This window comes from Homo sapiens, chromosome 12 (assembly GCF_000001405.40).
Source record: "Homo sapiens chromosome 12, GRCh38.p14 Primary Assembly".
Lineage (NCBI taxonomy): Eukaryota > Metazoa > Chordata > Mammalia > Primates > Hominidae > Homo > Homo sapiens.
This window is the reverse complement of record NC_000012.12, coordinates 105,331,415-105,345,906: the sequence shown is the minus strand read 5'-3', so window position 1 is coordinate 105,345,906 and position 14,492 is coordinate 105,331,415. Positions and strand designations below refer to the sequence as shown.

Genomic DNA, 14,492 nt, shown 5'->3' with positions numbered 1-14,492 from the left:
GGATCACCTGAGGTCAGGAGTTTGAGACCAGCCTGGCCAACATGGTGAAACCCTATCTCTACTAAAAAAAAAATACAAAAATTAGCCAGGTGTGGTGGTGGGCGCCTATAATCCCAGCTACTTGGGAGGCTGAGGCAGAATTGCTTGAACCCAGGAGGCAAAGGTTGCATTGAGTTGAGATTGCACCACTGCACTCCAGCCTGGGCAACAGAGCAAGACTCTGTCTCAAAAAAAAAAAAAAAAAAAAGGCCAGACACTAATTCAAGATCAGGAAAAAGACCTGGAAAAGGAAGAGAATTTATCTACAGAATACAGATTTCCCCCCACAAACGACAGCTTTGCTTGACATTTCAAAATTTATGTCAAAGAAATATATTTTGGGGTAAAATACTTTGACTTCTTTTTTTTTTATATTTGTTTTTGGAGTCTTATGCTGCCACCCAGGCTGGAGTGTAGTGGTGCCATCTTGGCTCACTGCAACCTCCGCCTCCTGGGTTCAAGCTATTTTCTTGCCTCAGCCTCCTGAGTAGCTGGGATTACAGGCGTGCACCACCACGCCTGGCTTATTTTTGTATTTTTTAATAGAGACAGGGTTTCACCATGTTGCCGAGGCTGGTCTCAAACTCCTGAGCAGAGGCAATCCAATCACCTCAGCTTCCCAAAGTGTTAGGGTTACAGACATGAGCCACCACACCTGGCCTGACTTCTTTCAGAGCCTGCTGTCATGTTGGTATCTTACTGCTACAAAGAGTCTGCTTTGTCAGTCTTAAGGTCTGTTTTAATGTTAAATGCTGGTCAGTTGTGCCTGAATTTCAAAGGGAAGAGGGTATAATGAGGCATGTCCAATCCCCACTTCCCATCATGGCCTGACCTAGTTTTGCAGGTTAACTTAGGAATTACCTTGGCCAAGAGAAGGGGTCCATTTAATTGGTTGGGGGGGGGCTTAGAATTTTCAGCTTACGTCTAAAAAGAAAATAATATCTTTTTAGCTTTTATTTTTTTATTTTTGTGGAAAAGGATAAAGAGTATGTTTGGGTTTTGCTGGAGTCAGGGCAAGGGAGAACCAGAGATGAGCCTTTGACTCTGCAAGTCTTACAGAGGGAAGAAAACAATGATTATAATGTGGACCATGAGTCCTCAACTTTTTTTTTTTTTTTTTTTGACACAGAGTCTCACTCTGTTGCCTAGGCTGGAGTGCGGCAGCACAATCTTGGCTCACCACAACCTCTGCTTCCTGGGTTCAAGCGATTCTCCTGCCTCAGCCTCCTGAGTAGCTGGAATTACAGGCACCTGCCACAACACCCAGCTAACTGTTTTTGTATTTTTAGTAGAGACAGGGTTTCTCCATGTTGGCCATGCTGGTCTTGAACTCCTGACCTCAAGTGATCCACCTGCCTTGGCCTCCCCAAGTACTGGGATTACAGATGTGAGCCACTACACCCGGCCGAGTCCTCAACATTTAAAGATGAGGGGTGACCTAGTACAATCCACAGGAAGAAGAGAGTGGCCAAGGCTGCCCTGCTACATCTCAGGGATGGCAGAACGGTGATGGGGTAAGAACAGTGTGGAATCAGAAGGCAGATGACTGGAGTCGGATCCCTATGCCAGTATTTGTCTGACAGTCACTAAATCACTTTGTTTCAGCATCTAGTAAATGAGGACATACTGGGCCAACAAATGCAGCTAGGAAGGCAAAGCACAGTAACGTGTGTGAAATGAGAAATGAGTTTACAAATGGCCACATGTTGTGCATTCAGTGCTTATTTTAATCAGCATCAGGAACTCTCCATCCACTTCACCTTGATTGCACCAAGCTATGGGCACCATCAAGGGCCTCCTCCCTGCTGGGCTCACCATTTAACATCCCAGCAGGCCCAAGGGAGATGCATGGTGCCACCATTTAAAACAAAGTCAACAGACCATTCCCTCTGTTCTAAAATGGCCCTCATTTGAAAGGGCATCATCAACTGAATAACTGCAATGGTAGGGGTGGGGCAAAGAAGTCAGAAACACTCCAAGAAGTGTGTGTGTGTCTGTGTGTGTGTATGATTGTAAAATGTGCTCCATTTTTTAATAGGAAAATGTGCATCTTAGAAGCAAGGTAACATGGTGGTTACTGAGAAGCTTGTAACCAGGGTAATGAGAATATGACTCCCTAACACACAACTTCCCAAAAGAAAAAAAAAAAGGTTGCAAATGTTGGAAACCCTAAACAAAACTATCAGAGTACCTAGGTACATAAAATGCAAAGCATAAGTTTATTTGTCCTGTAAAAGTATAAAATCATAAAATGATCAGAAATAAAATTACCCTCACTGCAACCTTTTAATTACACTTTGCTTATATATTTATTGTAATTAACCAAATGGCAATCCCTAATCTAAGTAATTATGCAAAAAGTGCTTTGATCAAAATTAGATAGTGGCAAGATCCCATTTGCTTTAAACTGTATCTGTGGTTCATGTGCTTTATCATTTATTAAGCAAATATGTATAATGTTACATCTATTTTTTTCCAGGCCACAAGGATACATCATTCATCCTAATACCACTTCATGTCCTGCCAAATTGGCTCCTTACTGTTTAAACATAACCTTGGTGGGTTAATACAATGGGCCTAGGGCCTCAGGAGAAGTAGAAATGAAAAAAAGGTAACAATGTTTCTTGTGGGGAAAAAAAACACACCAAAAAATATAGAGAGACTATTATAATTTGGAGGGGAGGGGGTCAAAAGATTTAATGACTATTTCCCAAAACTGTAGAAATGATAATCATAATTTTAAATATCTTCCTAAAAATGGAGAGGGGAAAGGTTTGTTCTCAGGAAAGTATTATATGCAGTTTCAGTAATAAAAATTGTAAATAGAATGTAAAGAAGGACATTTCCATCACTGTTGGTTGTTTACAGTATCACTTCATCTCACCTTGGCTCTGTTTAGCTTTTACTTTCCACATTTCAGAAGATTTTAACATTTTATTCATCAGTCTCAATGACAGAAGTCTCAGTTAATTAAAAATGCATAGCAAATCCCATCTATTCAAACATTCAAAAAACTTAATCTGATATTGCAGTTTCATCATAAGATATTTGGTCTTTGCCCCTGGTTCCTGGCACAGAGCTCCTAAAACCCCTGGAATTTCCTGAGTGATGAGTGACAGGAGCCTCTCTGTGAGGCTTCTAATGAGATGACTCTTGGCCAAGCCCCTATATGGCTTCAGGATGGGGGCTGTTTGCTAGAAAGACCAAGCCTTGATTAGAAGCTTGGAACATTGAGCTCCACCCTGCCACCTGCAGAGAGAGGAGAGAGGCTGGAGATTGAGTTAATCACCAGTGGCAAAGGATTTAACCAGCCATGCTTGTGTCTTGGTCCTTTTTGTGTTGCTGTTATAGAATACCACAGACTGGATAATTTATAAAGAAAATAAAATGTATTTCTTACAGTCTAGAGGCTGGGAAGTCCAAGATTGAGGGGCTCACATCTGGTGAGGGCCTTTATGCTCCTTCATCCCATGTGGGAAGGCAGAAGGGCAAGACAGCAAGAGCGCAAGAAGGGGCCAAACTTGCTTTTACAGCAACCCACTCTCTCAATAACCAGCCCACTCTCTCAATAACCAACCCATTCCATTCGTCCCCCAGTTTATTTATGATTAAACACATTAATCCATTCATGGGAGCAGAGCCCTCAAGCCCTAATCACTTCTTATTAGGTCCCACCTCCCAACACTACTGCATTGGGTATTAAATTTCCAACACATGTTGGGGAACGCACTCAAACCACAGCACCTACGAAAACCTCAAAATAACTGGATGTATTAGTCTGTTCTCATGCTGCTAATAAAGACATACCCTAGACTGGGTAATTTATAAAGGAAACATGCTTAATTGACTCACAGTTCCACATGGCTGCAGAGGCCTCACAGTCATGGTGGAACACAAAGGAGGAGCAAAGTCACATCTTACATGGCAGCAGGCAAGAGAGCTTGTGCAGGGGAACTCCCATTTATAAAACCATCAGATCTCATGACTTATTCACTACCACGACAACAGTATGGGGGAACCACCCCCATGATTCAGTTACCTCCATCTGGCCCAGCCCTTGACATGTGGGGATTACTACAATTCAAGGTGAGATTTGGGTGGAGACACAGCCAAACCATATTACTGGATTCAGTGAGCTTCCAGGTTGGTGAACTTATCTACCCATCAGGACTGTGGTATAGCCCAACTCCACTGGGGCCAGAGGCTTCTGCACTTGGGACACTTCCAGACTTCCCCAAGTACCTCTTCCACTGGCTGTTCATTCAGACCCTTTATGATCAAACAGTAAACATGAGGAAAGTGTCCTCCTGAGTCCTGTGAGCTATTCTAGCAAATCATTGAGCCTGAAGAGATTTGTGAAGACCCCCAAATCTATAGCTGACAGAAGTGTGGCAACCTGGAAGCGCAATATTTGCAACTAGAGTCTGAAGGGAGGGCAGTCTTGTGGGACCGACCCACTAAACCTGTGGAGGCTGACACTAACTCCAGGTAGTGTTAGAATTGAATTGAATTGCAGGACACTTGGTGTCAAAGAATTAGGTGTCAGGAAACGGGGGAAAAAAAAAACCTCTCAGACATTCTTTATGTTTCATACAAAAATTGTATGTGTCCTAGTAGTGGTTAAGGTTCTGAACAGTCTTGAAGGGCTTTATGAATCACACCAAGATTGCATCATGCTGTGTTTATTTAAGCAAAGAATTATTTATACTCCAGGTATACAGTTTAATACATTTTCTTATATTCTGATTTTGTCTCATTTCTGAACTACTGCAGAAAAATATTGTCTTCGTTTCACATGGCTGCTGTAACAAATTACCACAAACTGGGTGGTTTAAACAACAGAAATCTATGCACTCATAGATCTGGAGGCCAGAAGTACAAAATCAAGGTCTCAGCAGATCCAAACTCCTTCCAGAGGCCTTAGGGAAGCACCCATTCCATGCCTCTCCTGGCTTCTGGTGCAGCAAGCATTCCTTGGCTTGTGGCCCCATCATCTCTGCTCCACCTCCATTTTCACATCACCTTCCCTTCTATGTCCGTCTTCTCATCTTGTGTCTCTCATAAACACCCTTCTCATTGGATTTAGAGCCTACTCAGATAATCTAGTATAATCTCCGCATCTCAAAACCCTTAACTTTATTACATTTGCAAAGATCCTTTATCCAAATAAGGTTGCATTCACTCACTGCAGAAAAGAGAACATGGACATATCTTTTTGGGGGCTACCATTCAACCCACTAGACCTTCTTATCTTTGTCCTTCCCTGTCTCCAAAAAATACTCTCTTTTAAAATACAGAGCAAAATGAGTATCTGGAGGGAAACTAAATGTAATATATGTATCATGCACGACACAAACGGAACTTTATTCCTCGTGAATGATAACACAAGCCAGCTACAAGATACTGCACTGAGTAAATTTTTTTTTTTTTTTTTTTTGGCGGGGGCACGGAGTCTCACTCTGTTGCTCAGGCTGGATTGCAGTGGCACGATCTCGGCTCACTGCAACCTCCGCCTCCCAGGTCGAAGCGATTCTCCTGCCTCAGCGTCCCAAGTAGCTAGGACCACAGGCGCATGCCACCACGCCCGGCTAATTTTTTGTATTTTTAGTAGAGATGGGGTTTCACTGTGTTAGCAAGGATGGTCTTGATCTCCTGACCTTGTGATCCACCCGCCTCTGCCTCCCAAAGTGCTGGGATTACAGGCGTGAGCCACCACGCCCCACCTGCATTGAGTAATTTTAAGTAGATGGACACAATATCTTGGTTCCTACAGACAGATGGTCCTTTGAGAGCTAATCAGCCTGTCGTATACATTAAAAACCATGAATCATACTGTCCAGCATGTCTTCAGTATTATACAGATTCAAACATTTATTGATGTGAGTATTTCCTCCCAAATGCCAAAGTCTATTATGAAGAACATACTTTTATCTTTTAAAAGAAACAAGGGCCAGGCATGGTGGCTCACGCCTGTAATCCCAGCATTTTGGGAGGCTGAGGTGGGTGGATCACGAGGTCAGGAGATCGAGACCATCCTAGCTAGCTAACACAGTGAAACCCCGTCTCTACTAAAAATACAAAAAATTAGCTGAGCGTGGTGGCGGGCGCCTATAGTCCCAGCTACTCGGGAGGCTGAGGCGGGAAAAAGGCATGAACCCGGCAGGCGGAGCTTGCAGTGAGCGGAGATCACGCCACTGCACCTAGCCTGAGTGACAGAGCAAGACTCCGTCTCAAAAAAAAAGAAAGAAAGAAAGAAAGAAAAGGTCATATACATTTTAGTCCATTAATACCTTTTATGACCACCATACTATATAGACTCTAGACTTTATAAAATATACTAGAAATATTCACAGGTAAATGAATTGCTAAGTTACATATTAAGTTACATTCTTCAAACCAAGTGGTGATAATTCACACACACACACACCCGAAATAAAATTATGTATGTGAAGAATTTGTAAAAAAAAAAAAAAAATACTGAAGATTTAAAAAGCACTCTTCTTTCAGCATAAATTATCAGAAACATAAATGCCTATGGTTCTTATGGGAAATAATAAAAACATGCAAGAATGTCTTACTCCTTATTTGTTTTAGAAAAGAAACAGTCCCTCCGAGAACTATATAAATATAACTGCAGAAAAATAAATAAAATTCTCTTTAATTTTGACAGCTTGCTATGCTCTTCTGACCCACAATAGTTATAAAACTATGTCATAGTCTTGGTTTGGCCAAAAGAAATGGAACAACAGCTCATTACTTCATCCAAAGCAATGCTTATTTTTCAGAGTGCAATAAAAAAATACAGATTCATAAGTGATTTCTTCAAATAATGGAGGAAAAAAATTCAGGTCAATGTGTCCTAGAAATATAAAATTATATATTGACATAAAATTATGTCAATGAAAATGGAAGCTCTTATAGAAAATCTCATTTTTATAGGTCGTCCTTGTTGAGTAGTGCTAGAGTTTGGTTTGTTTGTCCCCTCCAAATCTCATGGGGGTGGGGTCTAATGGGAGGTGTTTGGGCCATAGGGGCAGATCCTTCATGAATGGCTGGTGGTAACAAGTGGGCTCTAACTGTATTAGTTTCCATGAGAGCTGGCTGGTCATTAGCAAGAGCCTGGCACCTCCCTCCCTTCTCTCTACTGCTTCCACTCTTGCCATGTGATCTCTGCACACTATGGCTCCCTTTTACCTTCTACCATGAATGATAGCAGCCTGAAGCCCTCAGCAGAAGCAGATGCTGGTGCCATGCTTCTTGTACAGGCTGCAGAACCACGAGCCAAATACACCTCTATTCTTTATCAATTACCCCGTCTCAGGTATTCCTTTATAGCAACACAAAAATGAACTAAGACAAGCAGCTATACTTTAGGCAAGTAAAAACCAAAAAATGGCCAGGCGCAGTGGCTCACACCTGTAATCCCAGCACTCTGGGAGGCCAAGACGGGTGGATCACCTGAGGTCTGGAATTTGTGACCAGCTTGGCCAACACAGTGAAACCCCATCTCCACTAAAAATACAAAATTAGCTGGGTGCGGTGGTGCATGCCTGTAATCCCAGCTACTCGGGAGGCCGAGGAAGGAAAATCTCTTGAACCTGGGAGGTGGAGGTTGCACTGAGCCGAGATCATGCCACTGCATTCCATCCTGGGTGACAGAGCAAGACTCCATCTCAAAATAAATAAATAAATAAATGAAAGATAAATGCAGCCATATAAGAAGTACAGGCATAAGTTAGTGCACTGACATTTAGCTGATATAATAAAATTTAAGCCATGTCTATATGGAGCTATAAGTGGCTCATGGTAAAACTGCCTTTGCTGAATTATAAATAATGAGAGAAATTTAATATAACTGACTCTATTTTGCTTTGCTTTTAATTTCATAGGTTTTTTTTCTCTTACTCTAACATGGAAGCCAAGATAACTATGAGAGGAATTTAGTTTATAGTTACACTTTGAAGCAAGGAAAACTGACCCCACCCCCCACCATACCCCATCCTTGTTCAAAGATCAAAGCTGCATTCATATGGCAAGGTTAAAATTCTGGTAGGGGCTTAAACTTTACTAAAAAATAGGCATAAACAATGACCCGCTATTGTTTAGCATGCTTTCCTATAAGTTGCTTACTGCACTAGAGTCACGTAACCAGGGGTTACAAGATTTCCAACTTCCCCAAATACTCCTATAGATAACATCAGTATTGTGAAACCTAAAGACCTGGCCTTTGACATAGTTTTCAGATTTCACATTTTGGTAGATCAAGAGATGCCACCTGGTTCTGAGAACCAACCCTTTCCTGGGAACTGACTTTACTGCCCAAAGATGTTTTAGATGCCCCTATGACCTCATCCCCAGCCAATCAATTGTTCCAATTCCCCAGTAACCCCCTGCCTACCAGAGTCCCCTTAAGAAACCCTAGCCTCCGAATTCTCAGAGAGACAGGTTTGAGAAATTTCTCTCTGCTCTCCTCACTTGGCCAGCCCTGAAATGATTAAACTCTTTATTTGCCACAAAAACTGCTGTTCTCATTGGTTTTTGTTTGTTTGTTTGTTTTTTAAGACAGGATCTTGCTCTGTCACCCAGGCTGCTCACTGCAGCCTCACTTGCAACCCTCCTGGGTTCAAGCAATTCTCCCACTTCAGCCTCCCAAGCAGCTGGGATTACAGGTGTGCGCCACCACGCCTGGTTAATTTTTGTATTTTTAGTAGAGATGGGGTTTCGCCATGTCAGCCAGGCTGGTCTCAAACTCCTGACGTCAGGTGATCCACCTGCCTCAGCCTCCCAAAGTGCTGGGATTACAGGTGTGAGCCACCGTGCCCGGCCCGTGCTGGTTTTGTTTGGGGCAGTGGGCAAAAAGAACCTACCAGGCTGTGACAATGGCAGAAATCAATCACTCGCTTTGGATGCCATCAATTCTGGGGAGACACAGCAAGCGAATGATGCACAGAGCTTCTTGGTTCTGTCTCACCAATGATTACTACCTGAGCAGAGGGGTCTCCACACCTCTCTTTATTCATCATCACTTCAAACATGGTACAGTCGAGTATGTTGATCACCTGCCCCTTACTACCTTACTTTTAGAGTGAGTAGCAACCTCCTTCCAGTTACCCAGGCTCTAACAGTTTAATTTTTACCTCTCCCTCTTCCTTCATCCCACATCTGCAGCCTCTCTTTAGCTCAACTGTCTTCCACGTATCTGTGACCTCAACGCTTCTACCCCTCAGGGCCCACAGCCATGATCCAGGCCCTCAGCACTTCTCTGAGCGCAGACAGCAGCTGTGAATGATGCCACTTCTATACGTACACGCCTTCAGTGGCTCACGCCTTCCTTCTACACCAGCTGTGTCTTTCCCTATACTGATAACAAGTAGTATATTGGGTACTTACAATATACGAGTCACTGTTCTAAACACTTTACACACATTAACTCACTGAATCTACAATAGGCTCTCTTATTACACCCCCATTTTATGGTCAAGGAACCTAAGGAACAGACAGCCTCAGCAAATTGCCCAAGGTCATACAAATGATGAATGGCAAATGTAGGATTTGTACTTGGCCTTTTTAGCTGCAGAGCCCACTCTCAACTCTGTGGCCTCAGTGCCTTTCTGTCCTCCTCGTCCCGTATCCTAACCATTCTTTCTTCCCAATACCCTGCAACCAATGTGAACGACTACATCCAATCAGGCTAGACTTCTTACTAACCTGAAATGCGCCAAGCCCATTTCTGTCTCTAGGACTTCCTACAGCACTAAAAATGACCTGCCTTCCATTTTCTGCTATCCAAATCTTACCTATTCTTCAAAGCCAAATAAAGTTCCACTTCCTCCACGCTATTCTTCAAACCCAAATCAAGTTCCACTTCCTCCATGCAGGCTTCCCTGACTTCCTGAGGTTCTATTTTCTTCACTCAATTGCTACATCAGTACAGTGTGCCCACACCAACTTAGGACTTCATTTTGAATCTTTTTTGTTTCCCAAATATACTCATTCATTCAACAAATATATTTCAAGAACCAAAAAATCCATTTAAAATGTGGAAACTGGTCTAGAGGCTGAGGATATGGCTGTAAACAAAATGTATAGGCTTTCATGAGGCCTCCATTTGTGGGAGGGGAAAGGAGACAAGAAATAAACATAGTATCAGCTCTCCAGCAAAAAAGTGTTTCACACAGAGAGAAAACAAGAGTGAGTTCCATTAAAAATGTGGAAACTAGTCTAGAGGCTGAGGATACAGCCGTAAACAAAATGTATAGGCTTTCATGAGGCCTCCATTTGGGGGAGGGGAAAGGAGACAAGAAATAAACATAGTATCAGCTCTCCAGCAAAAAAGTGTTTCCCACAGAGAGAAAACAAGAATGAGTTCAGCATGTTTAAAGAATAGAAAGAAGGATGGTACATACTTGTGGGGAAAGGGGAGTAGTGCAAGATAAAAATGATATCAACAAAATTTTGTATTATTTTTACATTATTTCCCCCACAAATCTTGCACTATTGCTAAACAGAGCTGTATCATTTCAATACTACCAAACCATTTACAGATGTAATTAAGCCTGGACCAATATAGCTACCTCAAAAGAATGCAATTATCTAGCTAATTGAGGACAAGGACATAACTAATCTAAAATATTGGGCCCAAAAGGATTGTATTAACTCCCTGGGATACACTGATAAAATAGGGTAAATAATTATCAAGCTCCTCCCCCTCGGACTATTGTTACATAAACAGCAGAAAACTATTATGGAAACATTCTGACAGTAAGTTGCCTGCAAAGTTAAGATCAGTTACCAATTACATATCTCTGGCAGAAAAAATTCAACTAACCAATTTAACCAAATATCATGAGCTGAATATTTCTGAGATAACTCCTGCTGCAAATAATTTCTACAGCCTTAGCCTGCATTAAAATAGACTACTGTAGATATGGGGAACTATCCAAACTTTTAAGGGATTTTCTGGTTTACATAAAAAGGAATTTCTGATTTACATTACAAAGACTTGCTTCATAGTCTATATGAATGTGACTATATAAAAGGGAATGACCAACCTGCTGACATCATTAACTCAGAATGCAAGGTTGGTCATTTCTCTGCCTAGTCCGGAGACATGCTCGGGGGAAAAACAAGTGAGTAAAGAATCTGACTGCAGAGAAAGAGTGAGAGTGAGCGAGAGTGCAAAAGCTCCCTGCCTTATAACAAATGTGACACTTTAAAATGAACTATTCAATCCCGATGTTTCTCCATAATTTGGGGTCTAGACTCCAGACCATGCAGAAAAAATATGCTGCATCCTTTATATAGTTGCAGGTTGGGAAAAATCAAATTCCTACCTTGAGAGAGTGATGATATCAAAATGTGAAAGTGGAGAGCTTTTGTGTACTCAAAATGCCTCTCACATTTCCATCTAGACCCCCAGCTCAACTCCTCCAGGAGGACTTCTCTGATTTAACTGTGTCATTCAATATCTCCTGGAAACTTGAAGGTCCAGATTATATTCTATTATCCACTGCTTTGCAGTGATTCTCAATTGCTTAATCTTCCTACCTAGACTATCAATTTCTCAAGAGCAACAAAGTTTGACTTCATTCTACAAACATCCATTGCTGGCTGCCCCCAGCGTTGCCCTAGAAGTTCCCAGCAGAGGAGGTCCCACATAGGGGTGGACGATGTGTAAGCTTACAGTTATTAATAGAAACATACTCCAGGGGCAAGTCTACCCAGAATTATCAAGGGGCTGATCCATCTCACTACTCCTTATGGCCACTTGACCCTTTTACTCCATACCAGTTTCTCCATGCATCAGGCATACGGAATCCACTTAACTCAAGTACACTACTGCATATCAATCTGTCATGTTAACCAAGTCCACCAGACAAAAGCCAAGAGAGGCAGCCATCCTGCTATCTCAGGGAAAGGGGAAACAATTATCCAGTTTACCTGAGTAACTCAAAAAGTAAAACAGGGCTCAGAATGGAGATTTCAGATTTAGGGGTATTGTAATAATATGTTAATGCATCAAAAAATATTTGCCATGTTCTTATAGAAAAATATTCAAGGAAAACCACTTTGCCTTCAAAATGGTGATAATAATATTATTATATAGTAATAATTACAGTTTACAGTGTGCTTTCATGTTATTTTTGAGTTTCACATGAGCCTTATGAAACAAGATACACCGAATTATTCCCATTATATAAACAAAGAAACCAAAATTCAAAAAAGTAAAATGAAACACCCACAATAATGCAAACAGCACAGCACCAAACCTAAGCTTAAGCTCACTGTCCAGACTCTTAAGTTCAGCACCCTTTCTACAATCTCTTTGTACATTTTTTTTTTCTGAAAAGTTTGTATGGCTACTGAATTCTATGACTCCTGGGACATATTGGAAGTAGTGCACTGTAAGTAACTAGAAGAGAAAGACAATATCTCTTTAACGCGTTTCGTATTGCTCGGGTTCAGTCCTCCTAGTGTGCAGCTTGGTCAACAGTGCAATTGACGCTGATGCCCAAGCTCACAGCTGAGATTTTCAGTACCTTTGCATTGTGGTTTATTTTTCTTTACATCTCTCATCCTGATGTATTTCCTCTCTGAACCTAAATTCCTAACACCAACTGACAGAACATTTCAAAATAACAATGACCAAATCCCAAAGTCAGCCAGGTGGACTCACAGGCAGGCAAATGTTTGGGAATGGCTTCTCCAAGACAAGGGCATATCCATCAAAGAGGTGATGCAATAACTCCCTGCTCATCATGTTGTCTCCTGCATGTTTTGAATCTGCACTCAATATCCTTCTCTCCTCTGAACAAAAAGTAATTTTTGGCAAACAGCAAGCTGGAGGAGAGAATAGCATGCTCTCACATGCACTGTCCACAAACAAAAGTGAGGCTGCTCCTCAAACTACTCTTTCGGTAGCTTTTTTTTTTTTTTTCAATATGACTTCCCTTTAGGTGATAAGAGAGATGCTCCTAGGGAAAAAGTCAATCAAATATTCATAAAGATAATCATATTTCCCCAAGAAATCATATTTTCCCCCCAAATTTGATTTTTACATTAACATTTTAGAGCTAGCTCATCATACCTTACCATCTTTCTATTTTCTTTTCTTTTCTTTTTTTTTTTTTTTAGATGGAGCGGAGTTCCACTCTTGTTGCCCAGGTTGGAGTGCAATGGTGCGATCTCAGCTCACTGCAACCTCCGCCTCCCAGGTTCAAGCAATTCTCGTGCCTCAGCCTCCCAAATAGCTGGGATTACAAGCAGGCGCCACCACGCCCAGCTAATTTTGTATTTTTAGTAGAGACTGGGTTTCACCATGTTGGTTACACTGGTCTCGAGTTCCTGAGCTCAGATGATCCACCCACCCCAGCCTCCCAAAGTGCTGGGATTACACAGGCATGAGTCACTGCGCCTGGTCCATCATTCTGATTTTCATTTGGCAATGGTACCCCCTCCCCATCCCTAAAACTGACAAGCAGTTCATTAATAAATCAAAATGTACATGCATGAAACTAGCCTCATTTTAAGGGAAATCTGCTACAAATCCTTCCTACAATTTTTTTTAATGTGGATAACTTTTCTTCACCTTTTTTAAGTAGGCTACACATGCAGTGGATTGCATACGGCCACAGTACCTAGTAGACTGAGACACAATTTGAGTGCGGGGTGTGGCCCTGACATTGTTTCATACAAGCAGAGCTTTCTGGCCACAGGCAGGTTTGAAGCCCGTCTGCCCTCATTAGCATAAGGTGCTACACTAACCTTCCCCACTGTTAAATGAATCTAAAAAGTTCGCTCTCCTGTGGCTCTCTGCATTGTCACCAGGACAGGATTTAATTCAAGACTCAAATTGAGTCTTAAACTCCATTTTTTACCGGCGTCTGGGTTAAGGGATGTGACAGGCCCAAGGTTACAAAGTCATTGCCAGGGCCTCCACAGCCGCCTAGGAAATACCGCAGCCTCTGACTGCTGTTTGCATTTGCTGGTTAGGCTAGGATGTGGCATCTGGTTGACTTCAATTGGAGGAGATAGGAGCTCTTTATCCAAAAGGACACTGAAATAGGTCAGCAGTTATTACTCAAAACAGATCCAGGGTACCTTAAATCCCGAGACATAGGCAGGGTGAAATAGAAGGGTGAGTTTTGGCAAAAGTCACTTGACACAAAGCCTGGCTGGCCCGGGGAAGCTAGAAGACCTTGCCTGCCAATCAACATGAAGTGGTATAAAAAGAAGTTTCTATTTGTGTGTGTGTGTGTGTGTGTGTGTGTGTGTGTTTAATGAAAAGTATCTTAACAGACTGTTAATAATAAAGCTCTGTCTCACATATGTAAAACATCCTTACTGCTGCAGCTTCTCAGAGAAATCCTAAGAGCAGCCCAGCCGGTCTTCGGCATCAAGGCAGACACAGATGCGTTTTTGCAGCTCTGCTTCTAGTTCTCCCCAACCCCACT

General features: G+C 42.0%; 1 protein-coding gene across 1 annotated transcript in view, besides 2 other annotated features; it reads right to left on the bottom strand.

The window, feature by feature from the left end:
- The window catches only part of C12orf75 (chromosome 12 open reading frame 75), a 40,828-nt gene that overhangs the window by 25,612 nt on the left and 724 nt on the right, over positions 1–14,492 (bottom strand). The gene's annotated exons all lie outside the window — the stretch shown is intronic.
- Positions 1,598–2,154: an enhancer, noted in NCBI's record as "OCT4-NANOG hESC enhancer chr12:105737531-105738087 (GRCh37/hg19 assembly coordinates)". NCBI's record gives its function as "activates a minimal SCP1, AML or CMV promoter by ChIP-STARR-seq in naive H9 embryonic stem cells {active_cell/tissue: H9 hESC(naive)}" and the evidence as "EXISTENCE:reporter gene assay evidence [ECO:0000049][PMID:30033119]".
- Positions 13,591–14,134: an enhancer, noted in NCBI's record as "NANOG hESC enhancer chr12:105725551-105726094 (GRCh37/hg19 assembly coordinates)". NCBI's record gives its function as "activates a minimal SCP1, AML or CMV promoter by ChIP-STARR-seq in naive H9 embryonic stem cells {active_cell/tissue: H9 hESC(naive)}" and the evidence as "EXISTENCE:reporter gene assay evidence [ECO:0000049][PMID:30033119]".